Source organism: Homo sapiens, chromosome 11 (assembly GCF_000001405.40).
Source record: "Homo sapiens chromosome 11, GRCh38.p14 Primary Assembly".
NCBI lineage: Eukaryota > Metazoa > Chordata > Mammalia > Primates > Hominidae > Homo > Homo sapiens.
In genome coordinates this window covers 132,089,654-132,115,701 of record NC_000011.10, presented here as the reverse complement: position 1 = coordinate 132,115,701, position 26,048 = coordinate 132,089,654, and the positions used below count along the sequence as shown (strand labels likewise).

The 26,048-nt window shown below is 43.2% G+C and overlaps 1 protein-coding gene across 41 annotated transcripts in view, besides 1 other annotated feature; it reads right to left on the bottom strand.

Annotated features, from left to right (window-relative positions):
• The window catches only part of NTM (neurotrimin), a 966,208-nt gene that overhangs the window by 221,121 nt on the left and 719,039 nt on the right, over positions 1 to 26,048 (bottom strand). The gene's annotated exons all lie outside the window — the stretch shown is intronic.
• Positions 21,593 to 21,802: an enhancer, noted in NCBI's record as "active region_5761". NCBI's record gives its function as "activates an Ori minimal core promoter by ATAC-STARR-seq in GM12878 lymphoblastoid cells {active_cell/tissue: GM12878}" and the evidence as "EXISTENCE:reporter gene assay evidence [ECO:0000049][PMID:35858748]".

Here is a 26,048-nt window from a genome sequence, read left to right as displayed (position 1 = left end):
AGAAACACTGAGTCATGGCTTATTCAATAGCTCCTGGGTCCCTGGCTGAATACCGAGGCTACTGTGCGTAGAACAGAGCATCACCATCCAGACTACGGCTGAGCCTCCTCCCACAGAGTCATCTCCTCTTTCCCAAATTCCTCTGGAAGTTTGTGTGTTCCTGACAGGAAAATGTTACCTATGTCTACCTTTCCTTTGTTTTCGGCCCTAATCTTATTGTATTTCTTTTCTTCAGCTTTCTTGGGGAATAATTGACAAATAAAACTTGTATATATTTAAGTTGTGCAATCTCATGTTTTCCCATTCATATACATTGTGAAATGATCACTGCAACCAGGCTAATTAACATGTCTATCACCTCGCCTCCTCACCATTTTCTTTTTCTTTTCTTTCCTTTGTGGTGAGGATACTTAAGATCCACTCTCAATATACTTCAAGTATACTATCCAGTACTGTTAACTGCAGTCACCAAGCTGTTCGTTAGATCTCCAGAATTACCCTACGTAACTGAAACTTTGTACCCGTTCACCAGCATCTCCCCATTCTCTCCCACTCCACCCACCCTAGGCAACCACTAGTCTACTCTGCTTTTATGAGTTGGATTTTTCTAGATCAACATATAAGTGAGATCATGCAGTGTTTGTCTTTCTACGTCTGACTTATTTCACTTAGCCTGAAGCCCTCCCCATTCATCCATGTTGCCGAAAATGTTACCATGGGATCTAGCAATCCCACTTGTGGGTATATATCCAAAGAAAATGAAATCACTATCCCAAAGGATTGTCCTCACTCCCATGTTCACTGCAGCATTAGTCACAATAGCTAAGATATGGAAGCAACCTAACTGTCCAACAACAGATGACTGGATAAAGAAAATGTAGGCATTTGTAGAATGTCTATGCCCCTGGAGCCTACCCGTGATACTGTGTGACCTGGAACCAGTCAGGCCACCTTTCCCAATTTAGGTTTCCTCATCTTAAAGAGGCTAAACTTGATGATCTCCAAGATCCTTCCCCCTAGAAACAACCTATTATTCTAGTTCGGAGTTTAAAATGCAAACATTAATTTCACATACTCTTCTCTGCCTTATAGGATCATGAGTGAGTTATCTGCAAATACAAAGCCAATGGCCAGGGGTATGGGAAAGGAAGGAAGGCAGGCAGCAAAGGAAAAAGGGCAGCAGCAAGTTGGGGAGAGCAGGGTTTTTATGAGACTGATATAATTACTGTCATAGTCTGAGTAGCTTCCCTCACTGAAAGTAACTTGCCAACTGCAATCCAACCAAGGCAGCCAACCAAGTGCCCTGCATTGCCCTCTCGTGGCTGATCAGAAAGGGACATTTAAGGAGGAGGACACTGGGTCGCAGGGGCCTAACCTGTGAGAGGCTTTCATAGGGGCAGAAAAGTGTTCGAAGTACTACCCAGCTCTCACTGCAGGAAGCCAACTGCCTTGATACATGCCTTGAACAACACTTGCTCTTTATTTTAAACACATTTTTAGATGTCATGTCAAAAGCAAGATAAGATCTTTTCAATAACATTCCATATTTACATCTCTTTTATTTTTTTAAACAAAAGCTTGCATCCGAATAGAAATAAATCTTCAAAAGACGCCTTTTAAAGAATCCATGGGAAAGAGAAAAATTTGTTGATGATGAAATAAGTTCAACTGTACAATATGAAAAAACATCCTTCCACAAGATGATGAAGAATGACATGAAAAGAAACAAAAAGCCTGGAGTCAGGTGGAAAGAGCCGCAGCATGGGTAAACTGAGGAATCAGCATGGAGCAGCCATCAGTGGGGCTGAAAGCTAGGGCCTGATGTTGACTTCTGTGCCCTTTCCTGTCTCTGAGCCCAGCCAGCCCTTTGTCTCTCTAGTCCTCCCAGGGCTTGGAAAGTGAGCCTTAGGATTGCATGGAGTCCTTCGAAGCACAACTGTACTCTGGAAAGAGACTGCTAAGGTGACTTTGGGGGTCTATATTTACTGCCTCTCAATCATTTCCAGATCCAATTGGCTTCATTGACAACCCAAGAAATGATTGTGTTAACTGCCTGGCACTGAGCACACCATCTGGGAGTGCCTCTCACATCCCAGCCAGTGGTGGAGGCATTTCAATCAGAGCTCATGGGGATCCAGGTTGATGAAGCGGGTGCGGCGAGAGAATCCAGTGCATGCCAGAGCTGTCGGGGTCTTCCATCCTAATGCAAGCAAACGCTTGTTTTGATCAGTAGGGTACACAGATCTGAAAGAGACCTAGAGGGAAAATGTGTACGTGGTGCACACAGACTGGCTTTCAGATACAGAGAATTAGAGTCAGGATGTTAAGATAGCTTTCCTCTTTGTGATCTCTGGATGAAAATACTATTTAAATGCAAATCACAGAGGCGTTCATTACAACCGTGGATATGATTCCAACATTATTTAAGAAGCAAGTCTCTAGTTGAATATCTTACCAACCACCCAGGAGAAGTGCCTCGCTGAGACTGGGCACGGGCTGCATGGAAGTGCCACAAGACTCGCAAGTAGAGCCTGCTCCCATCCTTAACCTGATCAAAGCAATCAGGTAGTGTGCATGATGTATGCATGTACGGAAAAATAAACACTTTGAGGGACGGGCCCAGCTATAAACAATACCTAGGAGAGGATGACTGGGAGGAGCTGCTTTCAGAATCTCACTGGGGTAGATTCTTTCTGTCTAAAAACATAAAAGATGGTCCAATAGGCCCAGCAGGAATTCAGATATCTTCCACGGCTTTTCTGGAGGTAACAAGACCCCCTCTGGCTGTTTCCCCAACTGTGACCAAGGAAGATTATCTCTGTGATCTTTAAAATAAGAAAACAGAGTTGGTGTTGTTTTCATTCAAAGCTAATCTGAATAGAAGCCCAGGGGTGCATTTGATCAGCAGCCTCTCCTGCTAATCCAGAAGACTTGCCATGTAATGTGTGTGTGTGTGTGTGTGTGTGTGTGTGTGTGTGTGTGTAAGTGTGCAGTCCCAGAAAATGTGTGTTAGACCAAAACAGCATTCGGTCCAAGTTTTGCCCTCTGAGAGCCCGGGGGGACGTCATGATTAGAGAGCGGGATGCCTTCTCTAGTGGAAGGCCGCCTCTTGGCTGCATTCAGTGTTGCCTACATAGTACTTGGCAGTACACACCCTCCCACTGGGAGTCTCGTTTTCTTGCTGTTGACTCCACCAGTCATTCCCATACCAAAGCTGAAACATCATTCTCTATCAAATCAGAGAAACACAAGAGATTCTCTAAGACTTCTCATTATTTACTAAGGGAATGGTTTCTGAAAATGTCTTTCTTCATTTTTTTCTTTCTTCCTTAGAAATTTTTCCCCTAAGAGTTGAGCTGTACCCTTCTGTGAAACATGTGTGCAAGAAGAGAACTAGGCTGAATAAAAGACACTAGTTTCTTTCATTTACCATTCAATGCCTTATAGTGGACAGGACAAATGGTGGCAAGACTGATTCAATTGTGGTCTGTTTAAGATGCTCCAATCTGCATAACACTGTCTTAGCCTGGGTCACACACCAATCCGAACTAGAATGCACCACATAAAGAAGGCTATGCATTTTGAGATGAGAAGAGAGAGATGGGGAAATATAGCTTGGCCTTCATTCAGGACAAATGGGAAAGGAAAAATGAGAGGGAGGGATGACCTTTTGTTGTATGGCAGAGCAGCTATTTGTAGTCTGAGTCATTTCTAGCCTCTGTTGAGAAAAGCAAAGTTTCTCTCTTCCTTTGCCAAACGCCTATGCGAGAATCAAACTGGTTTCCTTCTGCCTCAAGCACGAATCACTGACAACCTCGCCAGAAAATTCAAACTAGTGGTGAAGCATCTTTATTACTAACCAGGATTATGGAGACAGATCCAGCTTCCAAGTGGTGTTGATTGGTTAGAAGAAACGTATTCTATTTTACCTATTGTAGAATTTAGATAGGAAGTCATTTGGTGCGATGAATCTGAAGCCTAGCACTTATTTTTCTTTAGCTGACTTTGATGTCTGAGGAATCTACAACTGTTTTCAGGAGGTCAGTTCTTAAACTTTCACTGATCTTCCTAAAACAATCCCTATCTTACACAGGGCATACTGTGACACTGAGCAGCCATACTGGCTTGCTTAGGACTGCAGAGGACTGCAGCATCACGAATTGGAATTTGAGCTCCTCGATGCCTGATGCTTACCCTTGTGTCCAAACCTCTGTGTTGCATTAAAGCTGTATGAAGGCTTATGAAAAACAGTTCAGGATGATAGATCCCTTCTGTTCACTTATCTTGTGCTGAAAATTTTTTGACTGGAAGGCTTGTTTTGTTTTTGTTTTCTAAAACTTTTAAACATAGAGAGAAAGGAGATTAAAAAGTCAAGGAATCAAGAAAAAATATATATGTATATATAAAAAATACATATATTTATATATGTGCACATATATAAATACACACACAACACAAACGTACACACACATAGGCATGCACATAAATTTCTGGGGACTTCCTGCCACATGCATTGCTACCAAGGAGACTAGCCCGTTCTGTTTTAAACAGGGATTAAACTTTGGACCATAGTTTTCTTTCTCTCTGTCTCTTTTTTTTTTTTTTTTTTTTTTTTTTTTTTTTTTTTTTTTTTTTTTTGAGATAGGGCCTTGCTGTGTCACCCAGGCTTGTGTGCAGTGGCACAATCATGGCTCATTGTAGCTCTGACCTCCTGGTTTCAATCCTCTTGCCTTAGACTCTAAAGTAGCTGGGACTGCAGGTGCACACATCACCATGCCTTTTATTTTTATTATAAAAATATTTTTTAAAATTTTTTAAATTTTATTTTTAGTAGAGATGAGGTCTCTCTATGTTGCCCAGGCTGGTCTCGAACATCTGAGCTCAAGTGATCCTCCCACCTCAGCCTCACAAAGTGTTGGAATTACAGGCATCAGCCACCATGCTTGGCCTAAGTTTTACTTCTCTTGTGACAGAAAGTGAGAATTCATATGCTATGTGAATAGAGAAGTTCAATAAAAACTCTGTGTTGATTCATTGAAATTTTGAACATATATTTAGAAATAACAGTATATTTTAATGTAATTTTCAAATAAAAATCCTTGTCTCTAAGTTATCTTTTGCCATAAAATTTCAACCAAACATGGATATGATTGAAAGCATTTGCAGTGAAGCCCTTCAGCCAAAAATGGAAAGGCATTAAGCCCCATGCCACAGGGCAACGTGATATTAGGAATATACTCAGTGCATACCTCCAGTCCACTGGATCACACTTCAGCCATATGTCGACAATTCAGTTCTCCGGAGAGGCAACTGTCCTTGGCAGAGATAAGACATGCAGAAACTTTGAAGACCATATTATTTCCTAAGTGTTTTGGTGCCAGGAAAACCAAAATTATGGAAAGAAGAGTGCATTATTCACTTATGTAATCATTCATTCATTTGTTCAGCAAATACTTTTTGAGCATCAAATCTGCACCAAGCAAAGTTCTAGCCACTGGGGTATAGCACACAAAAGACAGGGCATAGGCCCTCCCCTCCTGGAGCCTATGCACTACTCAGAAGAGAAACAGGAAGAAAAAAGATGCAAGTTTATTGCAGAGAGCAGTAAGTTCTCCGAAGACAACACACAGGGCATTGGGCTAGAGTTGAGCCCAAGTGAAAGGTTGTTATGTCTTTAAGGAAGTCCATTTTGAGGAGGTAACATTTGTCCTGAAACCCAAATGGTAAGCAGGAGCCTGTCAGGTGGAGGACTGGGGGACAGAAGAGGGGAGAACCAGGCAAATTGTAAGTCAGGAATGGAAACCCAAACATCTTATGTCCTCACTCATAAGTGGGAACTAAGCTATGAGGATGCCAAAGGCACAAGAATGATACAATGGACTTTGGGATTTGGAAGAAAGAGTGGGAGGGAGGTGAGGGATAAAAGACTACACATTGGGTACAGTACACAATGCTGTGCACACTCAGTGTGCTGAGAGAGGAGAAAATGTGGCGTCCCGGAGCCGAGAGGAGAGCAGCATGGCTGGCCAAGAGGCCCAGTGGGACACAGTGGACATGGAGGTGAGGGGAAAGTAGGGGCTAACTCGTGTAGGTCTTGACACCTTGATAAGTAGACTGGATTTTAAGTATGAAAGGTTCTAAGCAGGGGAGCAATATAATAGAAGATTCATGTTTTAAAAATATTTAATTTTTTTCCTTATAAACAACAGAAATTTATTTATCATTGTCCTGGAGGCTAGGACATCCAAGATTAAGGTGCTGGCAGATTCAGGGTCTGGTTGGGCCCCACTGCCCGGTTTATGGATGGCACATTCTCGCTGTGTCCTCACATGGTGGAAGGGGTGAGGGAGAGGATGTAGAGAAATGGGAATGCTTTTACACTGTTGGTGGGAGTGTAAATTAGTTCATTGATTGTGGAAGACAGTGTGGCAATTCCTCAAGGATCTAGAACTAGAAATACCATTTGACCCAGCAATCCCATTACTGGGTATATAACTAAAAGATAAATCATTCTACTATAAAGACACATGCACACGTATGTTTATTGCAGCACTGTTCACAATAGCAAAGACTTGGAACTAACCCAAATACCCATCAATGATAGACTGGATAAAGAAAATGTGGCACATATTCACCATGGAACACTATGCAGCCATAAAAAAGGATGAGTTCATGTCCTTTGGAGAAATATGGATGAAGCTGGAAACCATCATTCTCAGCAAACTAACAGAAGAACAGAAAACCAAACACTGCATGTTCTCACTCATAAGTGGGAGTTGAACAATGAGAACACATGGACACAAGGAGGGGAACATCACACACTGGGGCCTGTCAGGGGCTGGTGAGTGGGGGTAAGGATGGCATTAGGAGAAATATCTAACGTAGATGATGAGTTGATGGGTGCAGCAAACCACAATGGCACATGTATACCTATGTAAAAAACCTGCACATCCTGCATATGTACCCCAGAACTTAAAGTATAATAATAATAAAAATATTTGAATTTTTTTTAAATTTTTTATTTCAATAGGTTTTTCGGGGACAGGTGACATTCGGTTTCATGGATACGTTCTTTAGTGGTGATTTCTGAGATTTTGGTGCACCAATCACCCGAACAGTGTACACTGCATGCAATGTGTAGTCTTTTGTTCCTCGCCCCGCCACCCTTCCTCCCAAGTCCCCAGAGTCCATTGTATCATTCTTATGCCTTTGCGTCCTCAGAGTTTAGCTCCCACTTATGAGTGAGAACATATGATGTCTGTTTTTCCGCTCCTGAGTTACTTCACTTAAAATAATGGCCTCCAATTCCATCCAGGTTGCTACAAATGGCACTATTTCATTCCTTAAAAATATGTTTTTGCCTTTCTTTTGGAGAACAGAGTATCAAGGGAAAGTCAAGATAACAAAGAGGTCAGCTAGGAGGCTCATGCAGCTATTGTCGTTTTGATGACAGCGGATTAAACTAAAGCCTGTTGAAATAGAGGTAAAGGTATGAAGTGGGGATATATTTTGGAAGTTCACTCAACAAAATGTGTGAATCGATTAGAAACAATGGATATTACGAGATGGGGAGGAAAGATAAAGGAGGGATAAAGTTTGTATGCGGCATTTTGGTGTGAGCAACAACGTGGAAGGTGGTGTCCTTTATTGAGAAGGAGTAGGCATCATTAACAAGGTTTGAGTAAAACAAAATGATCATTATATGTTTGTGTGGGACTTTCTATCAGATCACTATACCTATAAGTCAGGAACTCAGTGGAGATGTTGGAGCAAAGATATCAATTTATGAAAGAGATTCCAGGTGTGTACATGCAGACAGGGTACAGAAGACATAGGATGAAGTCTTTAGCATGACAACATTCAAGATGGTGTAGTGCACCATGCAGAGCTTAGAAAAGCTGGACAAAGAAAACTAGGGAGTTATGTGTCATGGAAGTCAAGAACATTAGGAACAATGAGAACATATCATAGATTGTTCCCATGATACATTGCTGCACAGTAAGCTGCCGTTAACTCATTCAAAAAAAGTAAAAGTCAGGCACAGTGGCTCATGTCAGTAATCTGAGCACTTTTGGAGACCAAGGCAGGGGGATCACTTGACCCTAGGAGTTTGAGACCAGCCTGGGTAACAAAGTGAAACACTGTCTTTACAAAAAAAATTTTTTTAAATAAAGGAAAAAAAAAGATTAGCCAGGCATAGTGGTGCACCTCTACTTCTAGCTACTCAGGAGGCTGAGGAGGGAGGATCTCTTGAGCTTGGGGAGTTGAGGCTGCAGTGGGTTCTGACCATACCACTGTACTCCAGCCTAGGCAACAGACTGAAACCCTGTCTCAAAAAAAAAAAAAAAAAAAAAAAAAAAAAGGATAAATCTTTTACTTGAACTACCATTCTACATTAGCCCATTGCAGGTCACATGAAAACTTCAAGATGTTACAAATCCTTGAGAAAAGTTAGTTTTGTGTTGTGTGAAACTGACTTGACTGGAAATCAGAAGAGGACTCTATGTAGGGAGTAGCTGACAGTCCCAATGCCTCTGCGTCTTTCTTTTGGCCAGGGGTAACATCCATGAGAACGGGTCTCTATTCTAACCACAAGGGCTAATACAGTGCCTGGCTAATAAATGTACACTGAATGAAAAAAGGCATATGTCTGGGAGTTTTACATGCCTTTTATGGATTTTTTTTTAAACAAAAAGATTCTTAGAGTGAAAGGAGAACTCAGCTTTTTCTCAAGCTTTCACAAAGACCGGCACTAAAATAATCACTAAAATAATCTAGGTACATGCTTCCTAACCCAGTTGTGACTATCTATGGCTAAATGATCACGCTCAGGGAATTAAACATCGCAGCTCAATGGCAGTACACCTCTGGGCTTTTCACAGGCAGCGAAGAGTCATCAAAGACATCCGAGGCATTGCCAGAACACCTGGGAAGGGATGCTGTGTGAGTCTAAGATGTATCATCACGATCACCCGAGCCCTGGACTTTTAACATTTTAAATAAACTCAGTTCTGCCTGAGTTTGTTTAAACTCTGCAGATAGCTTATAGGTAGGCTGTGGGTACAGACAGATGGGATGCCAAAGACAGAGGAAGCTGTGCAAATGCCAAGTGGCCAGAGCAGTGACCAACCTGGACACCTCCTGCTGGGTACTTTGTTTACTAATCTCCTGTTCTTGGCAGCTCCTTTGGCGTGGTCACGTGGCTTCTCCACATGGAGCTGCTTAATTGCTTCCTGCGGAGAGTTTGACCATTTTAATCCAGATGGCTCAAATCTCCTTGGCACCGACCAAGCTGCCCCTTTCCCAGATAAAGCCCAGTTGTCTCATTACCTCTGAATGGTCCCCCTTTAGACAAACTCTCCAATGACTTCCATCTTGGAAAAGCTAAGTTGAAATATCATACAAAAGGCAAAGGAAAGAGAGGGCGGGAAGAGAGGGAGCCGTGTTGGTATCACTCCCCTTTCCCTTTTCATTTCTGGAATATGAATGTGTTCATTTATAACTCAACATTCAAACTAATTGTTAGCTGAAGGCTTTCAAGTAAAAATGTAGGTCAAGCAATATTATGTGGGATAATGGCAATTGTTTCAGCTTCAGGGAACATGTAAGTAATTGAACCTCACTATTTCACTGACTTATTACAGACCAATATCCACCCTGGTTGCCACGGAGCCCATGATCCCAGGCCACCCTCAAATTGACTTAGGTTTAAGCTTCCCTTGCTGAGCTGGGCCTGGGATTACAGCAGGGACTTGGCAGGCTGGTGGAGGGAGTTACAAGGTTCTCTATCTCTGCCTCCCTCCCACACATGCACAGGTGCCATCTAGAACATCCCCTCTTTCTCGATATGGAAACAATCTTTAGGTTAAAACGGAGAAGATGGTTAGAGTGAAGGTGGACCTCAAGCCAATGTCTGCCAGCATGAAGCAGACAGCAAGGCTGCATGATGACAGAAGCCTGCAGTGTCAGCCAACCAATCTGAGAAAAGTGCCTGGGACCCCCAGCCTGGAGAGTCAACTCATGACAATTAAGGACAATTAGTCACGTGGTCTGGCTGCTGCAGTGCCTAAGTCTCATACTGACCCTGGAAACAGGATCAACGCTTCTCTGCTGCCTGCTGGGGTTTTGTCTCTTCCCACTGTTTTCTCCATTCCTCCTGCTTACCGTGGTCTTCCTCTGGTTCCTTTCTCCCACCTCTTCTTTCTTTCTCCACTTCCTAATGGGCCTCTTTACTATGCTCCTCTTCCCTTTCTTTTGATTTCTCTTCTCATGTTTCTCTCCCAATCATTGAATTTTAATAGCTCTCTTTTCTACAGTTTTCTGAGCTAACAGTACTACTATATTAATAAGCAGACATATTTATTTATTCTGAACCTACCAGTGTTCCACACCCTTGGGAATTTTCTATGTTCCAAGTTTATTCATCTGGAGATACGGGGCATGGTTTCAGGAAACGGCGTTCCATCTTAAGCCATGTTCAGACTTCAGGTCTCAACTCGTGCTCCTTCAGCTGTGCGTGTTGGAGCTTTGGGTGAATCCTTCCACCCACTGGGAGGAAAGTGATGGGGATGTGGGTCAGATAGGGTGAGCTGACACAGTGAACCTGAGGTCTCCTCACGGTGAAAGAAGGAGGACATTGTGAAAGCTCATCAGAGATGGGCTTCCTTGTTTGACTCAAATGTTGCCCTCCTCATTTGGCTTCCCATGAAATATATATATATATATATATATATATATATATATATATATATATATATATATATACATATGTATATATGGAGAGAGAGAGAGGATCTCCCTGTGTTACTCAGGCTGGAGTAATTACAGTAATTACAGTGCCACAATCACAGCTCACTGCAGCCTTGACCTCTCAGGCTCAAGTGATCTTCCTGCCTCAGCCTCCTAGGTAGCTGGAACTACAGGCATGTACCACCATGCTCAGATAATTTATTTTTTTTCTTTTCTTTTTGTAGAAATGGGGTCCCACTATGTTGCCCAGGCCGGTCTCATACAATCCTCCCTCTTTGTCCTCCTGAGTAGCTGGGACTAAAAGCATGCACTACCACACCCATTATTATTATTATGATTATTACTATTAGTTATTATTATTTTTGGTGGGGGGGGGTCCCACTATGTTTCCCAGGCTGGTCTCGGAATCCTGGGCTCAAGCAATCCTCCTGCCTTGGCCTCCCAAAGTGCTGGAATTAGAGATGTGAGTCACTGCACCTGGCTGAAATCAATTTTTAAAGAGCTAGGGTATTTTTGTATCTTTTACTACTTTATAAGATATAAACTTTACGAAAAAAATACATGAACAGGAAGGATGCAAGGAAAGAAGATGGGACGGGGGAAAATGGAGGGAGGAAGGGGAGGAAGGAAGGAAGGAGGGAAATTATCCTATAATCTCATCACTCAAAAATTTCTACTGTAAATATTTTGGTACATAGCCTCATGCGGCACAGCCTGTTGCATGCACCATAACAGATCCACTTTGACATAAAGATGCCCCAGCTCTTAAGGCACACAGATTCTCTTCTTAGGATTACTTCTTTCTAGTGCAACAAACACATCCTAGGTGCCAGGAGTTGTGCCTTGCACAACTGGGAATAGAACAACAACAACGAAAAACACAGTCCCGGTCTGCATCAGATATACTCTGTAGAATGACCTTCCTAAACAACACACATACAAGTTGGTGTATACCATACGCATAACTTCAAATGTGGTCCTGCTACTAATAGACTATTTGAAGTTCAGAGGTGCTATGCCTAGGTCTGCTGATGAAGGCCACTTGAAGGGACAGCAAGGGAGAGGACAGGCATTTGCCCACCCTCTGTTGTGTGTCAGGCTCCTTGCTCTGCATTTTCATCTGCACCACGTCATTTAACCCTCCAGCCTGGGAAGACCTTTAGAGGTAAGGAAATTAAGTCTCGGAAGAATTAAGTGTCTTGACTAAATTCACAGCCACTCAGTGGTACAGTTGAGACACGAATCCAGGAGGCAAAATATGCACACTACCTTCCCTTTTAGGGTTAAGTATCTACATGCAGAAGCTGCAGAAATCTCAGGAAAGGAAAGAGCAGGTGCCATAGGTATCTTCCCTCCTTGTTGTCACCTGCCCCAGCCATATGTAACTGAATTAGCAACAACGTAACAATATAACCTGAAGCTCACTTAATAGTTTTGCACTAAATAATACATTAAAATAAATAAATTATCCAGACAAACTGTAGGAATACGAAAAGGCATTTTCACATGATTGCAAATCTCAACGTTCCTAAGCTGGAGACTGTATTTGTAGTGGTGTGCTCCACAGCAACAAAATGCCCGAGATTAGAAATGCCAGCGCAATAGCAAAGGGAAAATTGGCTGTAGCTAAGAATCACATTCCTTCTGTACATTTTATTTGGAGCCACCGTGGACCCCAAAGATGGTAGAAGGGCCTGATTCCAATCTGGCAGGGACGATGTGCCAATTGGTATCAGTCTGTCCAATCTGTCTTACATAAGCCTGGAGAGAGGCCGGTGAGGAGGAGGTGCTGCCTGCGCCTGTGTGCGCCCAGGCGGTCACCTCCAGAAACATCTGCCCCTGCGGTTCCACAATAGGCATGGTAGGGATGAAATGAAGGCCGGCCCTGGCATCAGTTGCTTTTCTATGGGGCCAATTTGCAATGTAGATGCCACAGGCTCCCTGAGGCCCTGAGGAACCTGTGGCCTTTCCAGTCCAATTTGGCTCTGTTGTGCTCAGTTCGGAAAAGTTGCACTTGGTTTAATGCCTCAACAAGAGGCATTTGATGTGTGCGAGCACCTGTAACTGTTGGGGCAGGCTGCTGTGCCAGGAACAGGGAAGACAGGCTCCACACAGCTTGCAGATTGGGAGCAAGGGGGCTGTCTAAGGTCAGTGTGGGCTCATGGGGCACTCCCAGAAATGCATGGCATCTCTCCCCTCAGGAAGCATCCTTCCGAAAAGTTATGCAAATGGGTGATCTGTACTACAAAGTGGGGCAGAGGGAAATTCCATTAGGAAGACCAATGAGAAAACTACTCCAGTGTATAGATAGCAAAACTCTTCCACACTGTGGAAAATAACCAGTTGACAACACCTGAATTCTTTAAGGTCAGAAAGATACCTTGCTACCTGCTTATAAGAAGAAGGGATATTTTCCCATCTCTTCTCACCACCCTGAGAATAAGTGAGATCCACCTCGCTTTTGTTCGTGGTGCAGTTATATGGCACAGCACGTTGTGTGTCCCAAGACAGATCCAGTTTGACATAATGTATGCCCCAGCTCTTCAGGCACACTGACTCTCTTCTTAGGAATACTTCTTTCCAGTGCAAGAAACACATCCTAGGAGCCAGGAGTTGTGCCTTGCATTGGAGACAGAACGAAAAACCACGTAGCCCCTGTCCCCTTCAGGTTTATTCTCTAGTATAGGATAGAGATGCATAAAAAAGTATATGTATATATTCTATTAAAATCTCAGAAGACAGAAAAAGTCATAGTTCGGATACTTTGGGAGCTAAAGTAATGTTTCCTGAAAGGGATACCATCTGAATGAATTCCTGAAGAATGAGAAAGAGTGGCCAAGGAGAAAAAGAATGTGAAGGCTACTGCAGGCAAAATACAGAACATAAGCCAAGACTTAGAGGCGTGAAGCAGGCAATGACTGAACGGATCCATTGCAATTCTACCTTCCAGCAGTGTGACCTGTAGGAATGGTGGGAAATGGGGCTGAGAAGTAGGGAGGAGAGATCAGGTTACAGAAAGCTTTTTGTGCCATGACAAGGATCTTAGATGTGAAACAGTCAAGGACTATAATAGTTTATATTTTACAAAAACCTGCCTGTCCTCTGTGTGGAAGATTTGAAGATGCAAGGTTGGAGTTAGGTGAGGCAGGACAGGAGGCAGGGAAATGAGATAGTGAATTATGGCAACAGTTAAGGCAAGAGATAGTGAGGTGTATACCTACACACCGTATACGCCTAGTGATAGACAGACTGAGAAGAGGACAACATCAAATTGGAAGAGCTCGGTGAGAAATAAGAAGGTCTTAGGTTTCTGGCCTGCATTATATGGAACAGGTTACATCATAGATATTCACATACATTCAAACATACACACACACACACACACACACACACACAAGGTTGTGTTCCTTGGTCTATCCAAACTCCCTTATTTAGCTTGACAACATTACAGAAGGGGTATTCATGAATTCAACAGATATTTCCTGACCACGGCTTCTGTAGCTAGTCTTTGTGTAACTTCCACCCAGTGGGGAAGACGGTGTGCCTGGTTATCGTATTGAGGAGCTGAAGGTCACTGGTACCAAGAGGTCAAGTTACAAGGTCAACATAGATGAGGTAGAGTGATGTCACAGGTGGATGCCACCTAGAAATGGCTGCTGCTCAGCCATCTCTCTTCATCCTGAGTTTTCTTTTGCCTAAGTGAGCAGCCTCTCTGCGGTGGAACACAACTGGCACGATCAATATTAAAATAAAGGGTGGGGAGGGCAGGAGAGGAAGAAAACAGCCACTCAAGTCCATAGAGGTAGGAAAGATTGATCAATGGCCTCAGGAACAATCCATACTAATTATGGTGATAAAAAGCTGTCAGTCAATACCCTGGATATTAAATTTAGTGGATTGGAGACAACAGGTCTGCTTTCATTTCCCTGACCATTTTATTTATTGAAACACTCAGATACAAATGAGCATTCAGTGCTAAGATTACATTATTGTTTCACCTGCTTTGAACTGCAAATGCTTTGATAACTGAATGGAAAAAGCTGTCAAATTTCCCTCTGTAGTTTCTATGCAGAAGTCTTCCCTCACCATCTGATGAAATTCCATTTTGTAAAGTCTGACAGTGATACTCGTCATTAAATCACAGCTGATAGCCCACCTCACATATCAAAACACAGCTCAGTGTCTGTATATGTATGCGTGGGGGTGGGGCGCTGGTAGTGAACCCTGGAAGGAAAGGAGGGATTCCCTTAGCTAGGAGACAATAAAGCCTTTCCGAAGACAGCAACAGCTGATAATACCTTGCTGTAGAAAGTTGTGCTTCTGTGAATATGGCCATTCGAGTAAGTTTGTGCCCACATGCCCAGGGCCAAAGGAAATGAAGAAATGGATTCAAAAGAAGCTAATGGAGATGGCCTGCTTCCTGCCACCCCAGTTCTATAGCTGGTAATTCAACTGTCACAGAAGCATGTGCTAGTGGGTGAAACTCAAAGGGGGCTTGCATAATGCAAATTCAATCTGCTGGATCCTCTTTGGGCCTATGTGTCCCCCCAGTGTGATGATCCGCCTGCCCACAGTCAGATCATAGTGGTGCTGGCTAACCATCTTCCAAATCAATCCCTGATCTGGGAAAACAACATCCAGTGCATACTTTATCAATGATGCTGATCAATACCACACAAAGATACTAAACAAACTCTGTTTAGATCCCAAGATTGCTCCCACGAGTGACTGCCATGGGACACATGGGTGTGGTTACCAATCAGACAGCTTTCATTTGGAAAACTTCTTTCAATATGTTAAAAACATGCAAATATAGGCAGAGAAATGTAAAAAGGTCTCTCATAGTGTAATAAGTTACTGCTTTTGTTTTTGTTTTAATTTGGAATTACTGTTTCTGTGAGAATGCCTATTTTGTTCACGATTTTAGTCCAGTGTCTCAAAGGAGAAGTTTAGGGGGTGGTGAGTAGAAAGGGATCTCAATGGTGCAAAGTGGGGGAAGGAAATGAAAGAGGAAGAAAAGGATGGGGTAGAGCACAGGGTGTTAAGGTTTTAAGGAGGCTCACCAAGACTAGGAGGCATGGCGCCCCTACTGTTTCAGCATGGGAATGCAGTGAGGCGTTCAAACCACCAGTTGTTACAATGCTTTTTATGTGAGAAAGCACCTGACCTTCTCCTCAAAGGGTACATTTTGTATTATGTAGGTACTCAGGCTTGTTATCCGGAAAGTAGCAGGGTCCCAAGAAGACCTGTTTCTTAAGTTAAGACTTGCTTTTCTTCTCGGAGCTGTCCTGCAGTGGCAGAATTTAGTAGATTTCAGGGAACAGAACCACTGGGAGGGAGTCTATAGACCTGGGTTTAAGAACAATACCCACTGATAACCTACCCGGGGCAAGTCACTTCACCTCTTTGTCCCTCAGTCCTTTAGATTTTAGAAATTAGACTACATCACTGTTTTCCAGTTTTTTTGTGTTGTGAATCTGTAGTGGGTCATGAAATCAATGGAATGATTTTTATCCGTGAGTTTTTAAAATGAAATAAATAAGATAAAATAGAAAATATCAGCATATATTGAACATCAGAAGAATAAGTTGTGTGTCATGAGATAAAAAATATTTGACCACCACTGGATTAGAAGACCTCCAAGACACTTTCCAAATGGAATAATGTATGAGTCTCTGATTCTAATTCTCAGCAGACTGCCACCAATCAACCTGGAGCCAACTACCTACAGCTCAAGAGAGAGTTTCCAAGCTCCCTTTCTTGGTCAGCAGAGTTTTTCCCCCTTTATCTCTCATTTACAATTTGATGTTACAGGTGTTGCTACAATTTCAGTTTTGATAACACTGAGTTAATTAAGACATGATCTCTAAGAGGCAGGTGGTTACAAGGAGATAAGCAGCGGCTTCTGCAGGCAGTAAACAGCTGGTGCTCCTGACCAGCTTCTGGGGATTTGCTCCTTTTATAAAGAAGACAAAACTATCGCTCCCGATTAAACATGAACATAATGTTTGCACAAATATTTGGCAGATTATTTGGACATTGCTCTGGTTGTGATCAAAACAGTCCAAGCTGCAGGGCTGCTGTATACAGGTTGTGCAGGTTGTTCACTGCACAAGGGTGCCTGGCCAAGGAAGCATGTGAGGCTGAAGTCCAGGTACTATTTGCTTGTTAAGCTATCAACCCCAGGTTGGGGCTACATCTCCTGACGGAATTCACATAGAGATGCTACAAGTTCACCACGCCTTGTACTTGTGGGGCTATATTTGCCTACGGGGGCAAGTTTCCCACTTCTTAAAAGGCACTTTATGGGCTAGTAGCCAGACTTGCCTGGAGTTGAAATAGAAGACTGAAAAGGCAAAGCTAAGACATTGGCATTAGATCGGGACAGGGACACTATCTGCAGGCAACTGAGGTGCGTGGTCTAGAGCATTAGTCTCGTCATTCAAGCACGTGGGTAGGAGACAGCTGCCACCCATGAAGCATGCACAGAGGTGGCCTTCTTTATAGGAAAAGCACAGACCCCAGAAGTTTCAGAATAGATGAATTAATGGAGATGGCCGCAACGCCAAAGGCTCTTCACACAAAAGATTCTCTATGGGATTCTTTAAAATATTGGACTACCTTTTTTGCATTTAAGATATTATTAGATTTATCATGAGTCACAATTTTGGGGGAATATACTAATTACATCAAGCACAGCATGTTCTTTCATGCACAAAGTTACACTGTTTGGCTCTGATTTGTATGAAGCAGGCATTATCACTTTTAATTTTTGGTAAACTAATGATATAACTACTGATATTTTAACAGTTACTAAATTTAAATCAGTCAACACCTCATAATTAAAGAATATCCTAGCTGTTTTAACTTTCCACATCATGACAGATTTATTTCTAGCAGGATCAATGGATATTCATAACAATACCTGTTACAGCAAAATACTTGCCACGAATCTTTCTTTGCCTTAATTGGGCAAAAGCAGAACTGGTAGAATATTTTAGTTTATTCCCAAGGGTAAAGTTTGCCTCAATTGCAAAACGGGCATCACGGATGAGTCCACTTTAGTGTGATGAGCAGCCTACCATCTGCCCAAGTGGGAGGAACTCAACCAATGCCGGAACCCTTTTCCCTCTGGCTCCTTTATGGAAAAGGTCCTCATCACAATGACCTGCATGAAGCTATCAGATCCAAGTATTTGAGGAGAAGCCCTTTCATCAGAAGTTCACGAGTGTTCACGAAGTCTCTACTACCTTCCAGGCTCTATGTTCAAGACATTCTCAAATAGAAAGCTTTTTCCCAGGCCAGCCTGACCTAGGAGGTCATATCAGTGTTATTTACTCATTATGATATCTCAGTTGTTATGTCAACACAATAGAAGTTACAACTGAGGTATCACCAAAGAAACCCATAGACTTTGTTTTACTTGAAATACTAGAAGAGATGGAAGTCGTCTTTCTGAGGCCTGACACAGGACGGACAAGTGACATTCCCTGATGAGATTTAGAACAGTGAGCCATCAGCACCCAGGAGCATCCTGGCCTCCAGTGCAACACAGACTGAGTGTCCCCAGCATCCTGGCCGACGTGGCACCAACAGCCAAGTGAGGCTAACTCAGGATCAGTGACCTGCTGTGGTTCCAGTGCCACTCGACCAGGTCAATCACACTCCCAAATGTGTGTTCCCTTTAGGAAGGACCATTAGCAATGACACGACCACCACACACACAACACTTGCGTGCTCTCTCTAGAGAGCTGAGCTGTTTCTGAACCTGCAGAAGGAAGGGGTACATATGTCTTAAGCAGCCTCTCTGTAACCTAAATTCTCAGGAATTCCATTTACAGGAACATTGGTCTTACAGATCTACCTAGAGATTAAGTCCAAAATAACTGCTGGAGCTTCACGCCACCTGAAACAAATCTATTCAGCTGGGTTAGTAACCCTTGGTCATAGTCATATCATGGGAAGCTGCAATTTATTTAGTGCCTACTATGTGCTAGACACTTAGTGTCTGCAGCACCAGAGAACATCCTCTGAAACCTGTAGACTGTACACTCCCAGGGCCAGCATAGCCTCCTTCTGATGCCTTCTCCTCTCAGACTCTCCACAGGTACCCTTGGTCACCCTGTTCCTCTCATAGTGAGCTGGGTTTTCCAAAAACTGCATGATGATTTATGGCTTGTAAATGTCGACTCCCCTCCCCGCAGGCCCTAGACCAAGGCAGGCAGGAAGATGAAGAGTGAGGAGACACTGGGGGAAGAAATCAGCGCTTCTGCTGGCCGAGCGGAGCCTGATTGCTCCTTGATGGGTCAGTAATTAATTGCTCCAGAGTGGTGGGTCTGAGACTGCAGAATTGTGCCTTGTGAATAGGCCCTAGAGGGCGGGGGGAGTTACATTGCTTGTAAGATCATTAGGCGAATATTATAAGTAATACTCCATGGCTCCCTCATTAAATACTAAGTGAGTCATTCAATCTTGGGGTTCTATTTCTATTCCCCATTCTAAATGCAACTTTAATGATTTAAAATCCCTTCAACCCAATTACAGCCCTGTATTCTGATTAGGAACTCTCGCCCATTGTGAGCGGGAACCATTATCCTGCAGCCTATAGCAAAATTAGCACCCAGAGAGGTTGCACTAGGAAATAAATCTTTCCCTGACATTTCAAGACCAATGCCCGGCCAATTACAACACACTCTGTTACTCTAGTAATGTGAAACTGAGTTGCTCCTTGCAATCAAAGGTCGCTGGTCAGAAAGATAAAGAAGAAAATCATTCAAGGGGGGAAAAAAGACTAAAAAGTATGGGGAGAGAAAGTCAATGGAATGGTGTTGAAGGAAAAGAAGAGTGGCCTAGGAGACAGAATCTGTCACTGAGGCTTGACTGCACTCTGTCAGAGAGGAGCTGTGGCAGATCATGGGGCCTGGGGGCAGAGGGGTTGGGATAGAAATGACATCCTGCTTCCTCCCACAGCGGGATGCTGCAGCAGTTAGGGCAGTAGTCAGTACTGGAACTAATCAACTCCAAAGTGTCCGCAGCTGACACACGAGAAGAGTCTTTTTGGCCCAGGTAGAGTACAGTGTGGGTGTTCCTGGTCATTAGGCAGGGCTACGGCCAGAGCCAAATCTGCTCTGGGCAGTTTTGAAGCACCCCAGGTTAATGGAGTTTCCTCCCTTTCTAATACGTGTCTTCTAGGATCACGCTGCATGATGATACACAGCTGGTGGAAAGTCTGGAAGTAGCACACATAACCATGTGGGTGACAACCACGCCTAGACACAAGGATGGCTGGGGGATGGAGTCCTGAGCTTTTTGGACATGCATGCCGACTACTGAAGAGAAAACTCAGCCTGAAATGGACAGCAGCTGCCTTTGTCCCAATGTCTTCTTTAGTTCTGGTCTTCTGTGTTCTCCTCTCAATCAGAATGAATTCCCTCTCAGTTCAGGGCTTTCAAGTCTGTTTCTCTCTATGCCTTCTGTGGTTAAGACACCACTTACAGCCTTGTGCTTCCTGAACATCCTGGCCACAAATGATGCGGAAGAGGTAGCCGCCAGTCCCTGCAGAGCCTTGGCGGAGACAGTGGATGAAAGGGTTCCTGTGGAGGGGCTCCTGCAACTCTCTCGGTGCTCAAGATGTTAATGCTCTGGCTGACCATTCTGAGAAGAGCCCTAGGCTGGATTTTCTTCCCACTCCCAAATTAGGCAAAGAATCAGAAAGGCGGGGAGAAGTAAAAGTGTGAGCAGCAGATGAAGAGCTCAAGGATCCTCAGATCTGCAGACAGCTGCCTTCAATGTACCCACTGCAGCCACAAAGTAGGTGCCCAGAGTGAGCCCTCTCAGACAAAAAGAGGGGAGCGCCGAGCAGGCCGGCAACTCCAGTTTTGAGCTGTCTTCTTCTTTGACACTCCTCTGGCTCACATGAGGAATGTCTCCATCTCTGTTTGTCCTCTCCCTGCAATGATGGAGCTGTCACTACAGAGACTCCCTAACCACTAAAAGCTGAGAGTTGTCTCCTTGCTGAGACTGACTGTAACAAATGCCATGAATAAGCATCACAACTTCTCCTGACCCAGCAGTGTGCTGGAGCAGAACGTGCAGGCAGTGCACACACACACACACATACACACTGATGCACACATGGACTCACATAGTCTTCTTAAGCATATGGGGGCCATCTCATCATTCTAACCTCCCTGACATTTTTGTTCTCTCTCTCTGGTTGTTTCCATGGGAACCACAAAAATAATAATCATCACCATAATGAAAGAGGAGGAAAAGCCTGCTGCTCCTCTGCTTAAGGGGCTTCTATTTACCAACACCTGGGGACCAGTGTCCTCAATGCACTACTCAATCTAAACAAATCAGTCAGCTCTTCCTTTCAGTCATCTCATCCTTCAAATCCATGCCACTCTCATTCATTTTTGGTCTTCCTAAAGAGAAGGACTAAAATCTTTAAGGGTTGAGAGTCTGGCAGGGAAAAATGAGAGAGAGACACCCGAGTAGCCACAGACAGGAAGTGCTGCACCCATGGAGGACAGCAAGTGCTCCCTGAGGGGTATCTGAAGGTCTGTCATAGGAACACATAGTTTCTGAGCCCACAAGAGCAAGGTGCCCTAGGAAGAGCACAAGACATGGAACCAGAAATCCAGCTTGCCAACTTATCTTTCCACCTTTCTATCCATCCAGCCAGCAAATCAATACATTGTTAAATAATCAAGTTTAGCCTAAAGCTGCCTCCTTATATATTTTAAGTTCAGCCTAAAGATTTCTCTGTGCATTGTGAACTATAACCTAGATAAAACTGTAAAGAGACTGTAGCCTACTCTTGTGCCAATCACTGGGTTTTTGGCCAATCAAAGGTGGCCAACTGTTTAAACCATGTTTACATAAGGCAAACGCTGAGCTGTAACCAAACCGGCGGTTTCTGTATCTCACTTCCGTTTTCTGTTCATCACTTTCCTTTTTCTGCCCATAAGTCTTCACCACGTAGCTGCGCTGGAGTCTTGGAGCCTACTCTGGCTCAGGAAACTACCGGATTTAATTGGCTCTTTGCTCAATTAAACTCTGAAATTTAATTCAGCTAAAGTTTTTCTTTTAACAACATAAATACATATATTTTGAGAATCTACAATATTTTTGAGAATCTACCCTAACCCAAGAGTAGTACTAGTTACTGGCATATGAAATTGTGAAATAGTCACTGTCACAGCCCTCAGGAAGCATGCCACCCTGTTGGTGACATAGACAAGTAAACAGTGCCCAACACAATGCCTTCTACAAAGAAAGGCATCCAACACATATTTGCTGACTGAAAGAAATTGCTCTGATAGAGAATTTCAGGGTACAATGCAATATCAAAAAAGACAGATTTATAAATGTGTATGTGTGTGTGTTAAAGAAAGCTATTCTGGGTGGTTGATGTCTAAAGTGCAGCATGAAGATGGGCAGGAGATACCAGGCAAAGTGTGTTTTGGAGGAAGGGAGGAAGAGAAGACTGCTCAGTCCAATATCTGTTGGATGGAACAATGAATGACAGAGAGATGAAAAATAAGCTGCTAAGCTGAGTCTCTGGTTCCAAATCTTGTGCTCTTTCTAGTGTTTCATGCCCTTGTGGGCTCAGAAAGCATGCATGTCTAATACAGACCAGGCAGAGGAAACAGCATGTGCAAAGGTCTAGATGCAAGAGAGAACATGGAGAGAAACAGGAAAGAGTCTGTATTGCCAGAGTTGAATGTGGGTTATCAGGAGTATGTGGAGAGGTACAGAGTGAATAGGTGAAGATTCGAGGGTAGAAATGAAACATGTAAGACATCAGATGATGGAAGGCTTAGGGCACCCAAAACCAAGCTATAAAGGTGAGATTTTATCCCAAATATAATGAGAATGCCAATGGAAACTTCTAAAAAGTGTAAGGATAGAATCATATTTCCATTTCAAAGGCTCTTTCTAGCTGCAGCATGGAGAATGAATTGGATCAGGGCCAGCCTGAGGTGGGAAGGCCAGTTAGGGGTTGCCATAATAATCCCAATGAGAGATCAGGCAGCTTGAGTTATCCAAGGAGTGATGGGGATGGAAAGAAATGTTTAGTTTTCAGACAGATTTGGGAAGTCAAAATGGAGGACTTGGGGTGATACCAAGGTCTCTGGTTTTATCCTCTTGGCAAGGGACCACTACTATATGGAAACTGAGCTTGAGGAAAAGATCATACTGTCAGTTTAGGCCCACTGAATTTGAGAGGTCTGTAGATCTTTACATGGAAACATCAAGAAAACAATGACTGAGGGTTGGGAGAGACTAAGCTGGAGCCATCGATGAGGGAGTCATCAGCATATAGCTGGCACTGGAACCTTGGAGCATGATGGACTCAACAAGCAACGCCTGGGGGACACCAATACTGCTGTTACTGTCAGAGGAAGTAGAATCCCAAAGAACACCATGAAAGACAGGGAGATAGGCCCAGAGAATCCGGGAACTAAGGTTTGCAGAAGCAAGGAGATAGGTGCTGAGTGACTTGAGGAGGTCAGGTGGGTCAAGTGCAAAGTTCCCCCTTGGAAAGAACAAGAGCAGAGCCAGTGGTCATCTTGGTGAGATCTCCCATTTTCAGTGGAGTGGCAGGACAGAGGCCAGGCACTCTGAGGAAGGACTAAATGCAGAATGAAAAAGAAGCGACAACAAGTATAAATAATGCCTAGGAATTCTTTGTGGCTATCACAGGGAAGAGACAGAACAGAATTTGGACAAGAAATCAATGATTTTAAATATGAAATAGATTTGATCACGTTCCATTGCTGAAGGGAAATAGAAAGTGAGAGACTGAAGGCATAGGAAAGACAAGAAAAATTATCAAATGGCGTTACTGAGAAGATAGGTGTGAACAAAGTCCATAGCATTGCTAGAAGATCTAGCTTTGGGTGGAATAGCTTTTCTTTAAGAGGATTGAAGGTGGAAGGGAAGCGGGACTCACAGCTTTGGTGGCAAAAAGTTATGAGAGCTCTCGTATGATGGTATACTTATGTTTTCTTCATTCATTAATTTATTTATTCATCTGTTTTCTCAACAAATATTTATTGGGCATCTACTAAAATGTGTAGTTGCTGGAGGTACAATACATGTTGTCTGACCTCAGGAAACTTACTGATAATGGTAAAGTTAAACAGGTAATAAAAACACGTGGGACTGGGCATGGTGGCTCACGGCTGTAATCCCAGAACTTTGAGAGGCTGAGGCAGGAGGACTGCTTGAGCCCAGGAGTTCAAGATCAGCCTGGGTAATGTAAGCAGACCACCAAGTATACAAGCAAATTTAAAAAATAGTCAGGTGTGTGGTGTAGGTCTGTTGCCCCAGCTACTCGGGAGGCTGAGGTGGGAGGATTGCTTGAGGCAGGGAGGTCGAGGCTGCAGTGAGCCATGATCACCACACTGCACTCCAGCCTGGGTGACAGAGTGAGACCTTGTCTCAATAAAATAAATATGTGGTATGTGTTAAAATTGAGAAATATAGTCAACTATGAAAAGATAATTTATTATTTTATTAATTTATTATTTTTTTTTGAGACAGAGTCCCACTGTCACCCAGTCTGGAGTGTGGTGGCACGATCTTGGCTCACTGCAACCTCCACCTCCCTGGTTCAAATGATTCTCCTGCCTAAGCCTCCCAAGTAGCTGGGATTACAGTCATGTGCCACTATGCCCAGCTAATTTGTTTTTTTGTATGTGTGTATGTATTTTTAGTAGGGACAGGGTTTTGCCATGTTGATCAGGCTGGTTTCGAGCTCCTAGGCTCAAGCAATCTTCCTACTTCAACCTCCGAAAGTGCTAGGATTATAAGCTAGGGTTTCTCACCATGTCCAGAAGAGAAAATAATTTTTGAGCTGAAACCTAGAAAGAGTTTGCCAAAGGAAAAATGCCAATAATCCTCTTGAGTAAGAAAGACACAGTAAAGGCTTGTGTGGAATGGAGAAAATTGGAAATAGCCGCTATAGAGAATGGGAGGAATAGAAAAACAGGGACAGAGGACTGTCACTTTTTTTGGTAGGTCTGGGTGAGGTGAGAGATCATGAATTTGTGAAAGCACCACTGTATAGAAATATATGATTTTCCCCAACAGCAGCAAGTGTAAACTCTTAAGATGTGAATTTTTTCTGGAGTGGAGTTTTTCCAGGAGAATGTGATAGGAGGACAGTGGGGTAAGGAGGTTGAAGAGTCTGACAGTGATAGATGAAGCCATGCATTGCCACATCTAGGCTGGATGGGGAAGAAGGGGAAGAAAGTGAAGAAAGGGTGTAGCTAAGGGATTGAGGAAAAGTAGGGCATTCAAGGAGCTTTAGGTTCCAGTGAGGTCAAAGAAGAGAAATAACTCAAGCTGGGAAGGATTTAGTGACTGAATTTCACTAAATTTTCTGATTCAGTGACTGAAGAGCTAGAGACAGCGGGCACGATCACAAAGTTCAGAGGGTAACCATAGATGGCACCCTAAAACGGAGGGCAGATGAAGTTACTGGGCATGGGAAGGTAACACTGAGAGGGTGGGGCACTGGAAGACTCATACCCTGGGTACAGGAGGTCTGAGCAGAAAGGGAGATTATAAAACCTAAGAGAAACTTTCTCTGTGTCCCAGCTTTTTCGTGGGCCTAACACGCTCTCTGCCATAGGGAAGGTGTGAAGGGCCAAGGAGACAAGGTATAAGAAGGTGACTTGCAAGTGCTTAATTGCCAGGCAGATTTAGATTATTTTCCTACATATAGCCCATGGTTTAAGTGCTCACCTTCTGCTAGAGTCAGAATACCTGGTTTATAGTCTCATTCCGTCACTTTTTAACTGTCTTTCCTTAGGCAAGTTACTCAATCTTTCTGTAAGTCATTTTCTTGTCTGTGAATGGGGATAATAATACCTACCCTCCAAGGATATTGTGAGGATGACATGAAACAATATATACAAAGCATCTGGAAGAGTGATTAGCATACACTAAGGGCTCCATGAAGTGTAAATACAAGAAGTATTTAAAATGATCATAGAAAATACTTATTATAAAAAAAACCTTGAATTTTAATTTTTTTGCATCAAAATAAACTCATACTAACTGGTTATAAAACTTCTGAACAGGATCTAGTTTGAGGCACTAAGAACAATAAGACATTTTGAAAAAAGCCTTTAACAGAGCAACACAAATTCTGGTAAAATAGAAGCAAGAACAAACATCAAATTTATGTTGAAGCTTGGGTGGAAAATGGTGAAATCACTGACGCTTTACAAAAAGTTTATGAGAACAATGCCCTAAAGAAATCAGTAGTTTACAAATGAATA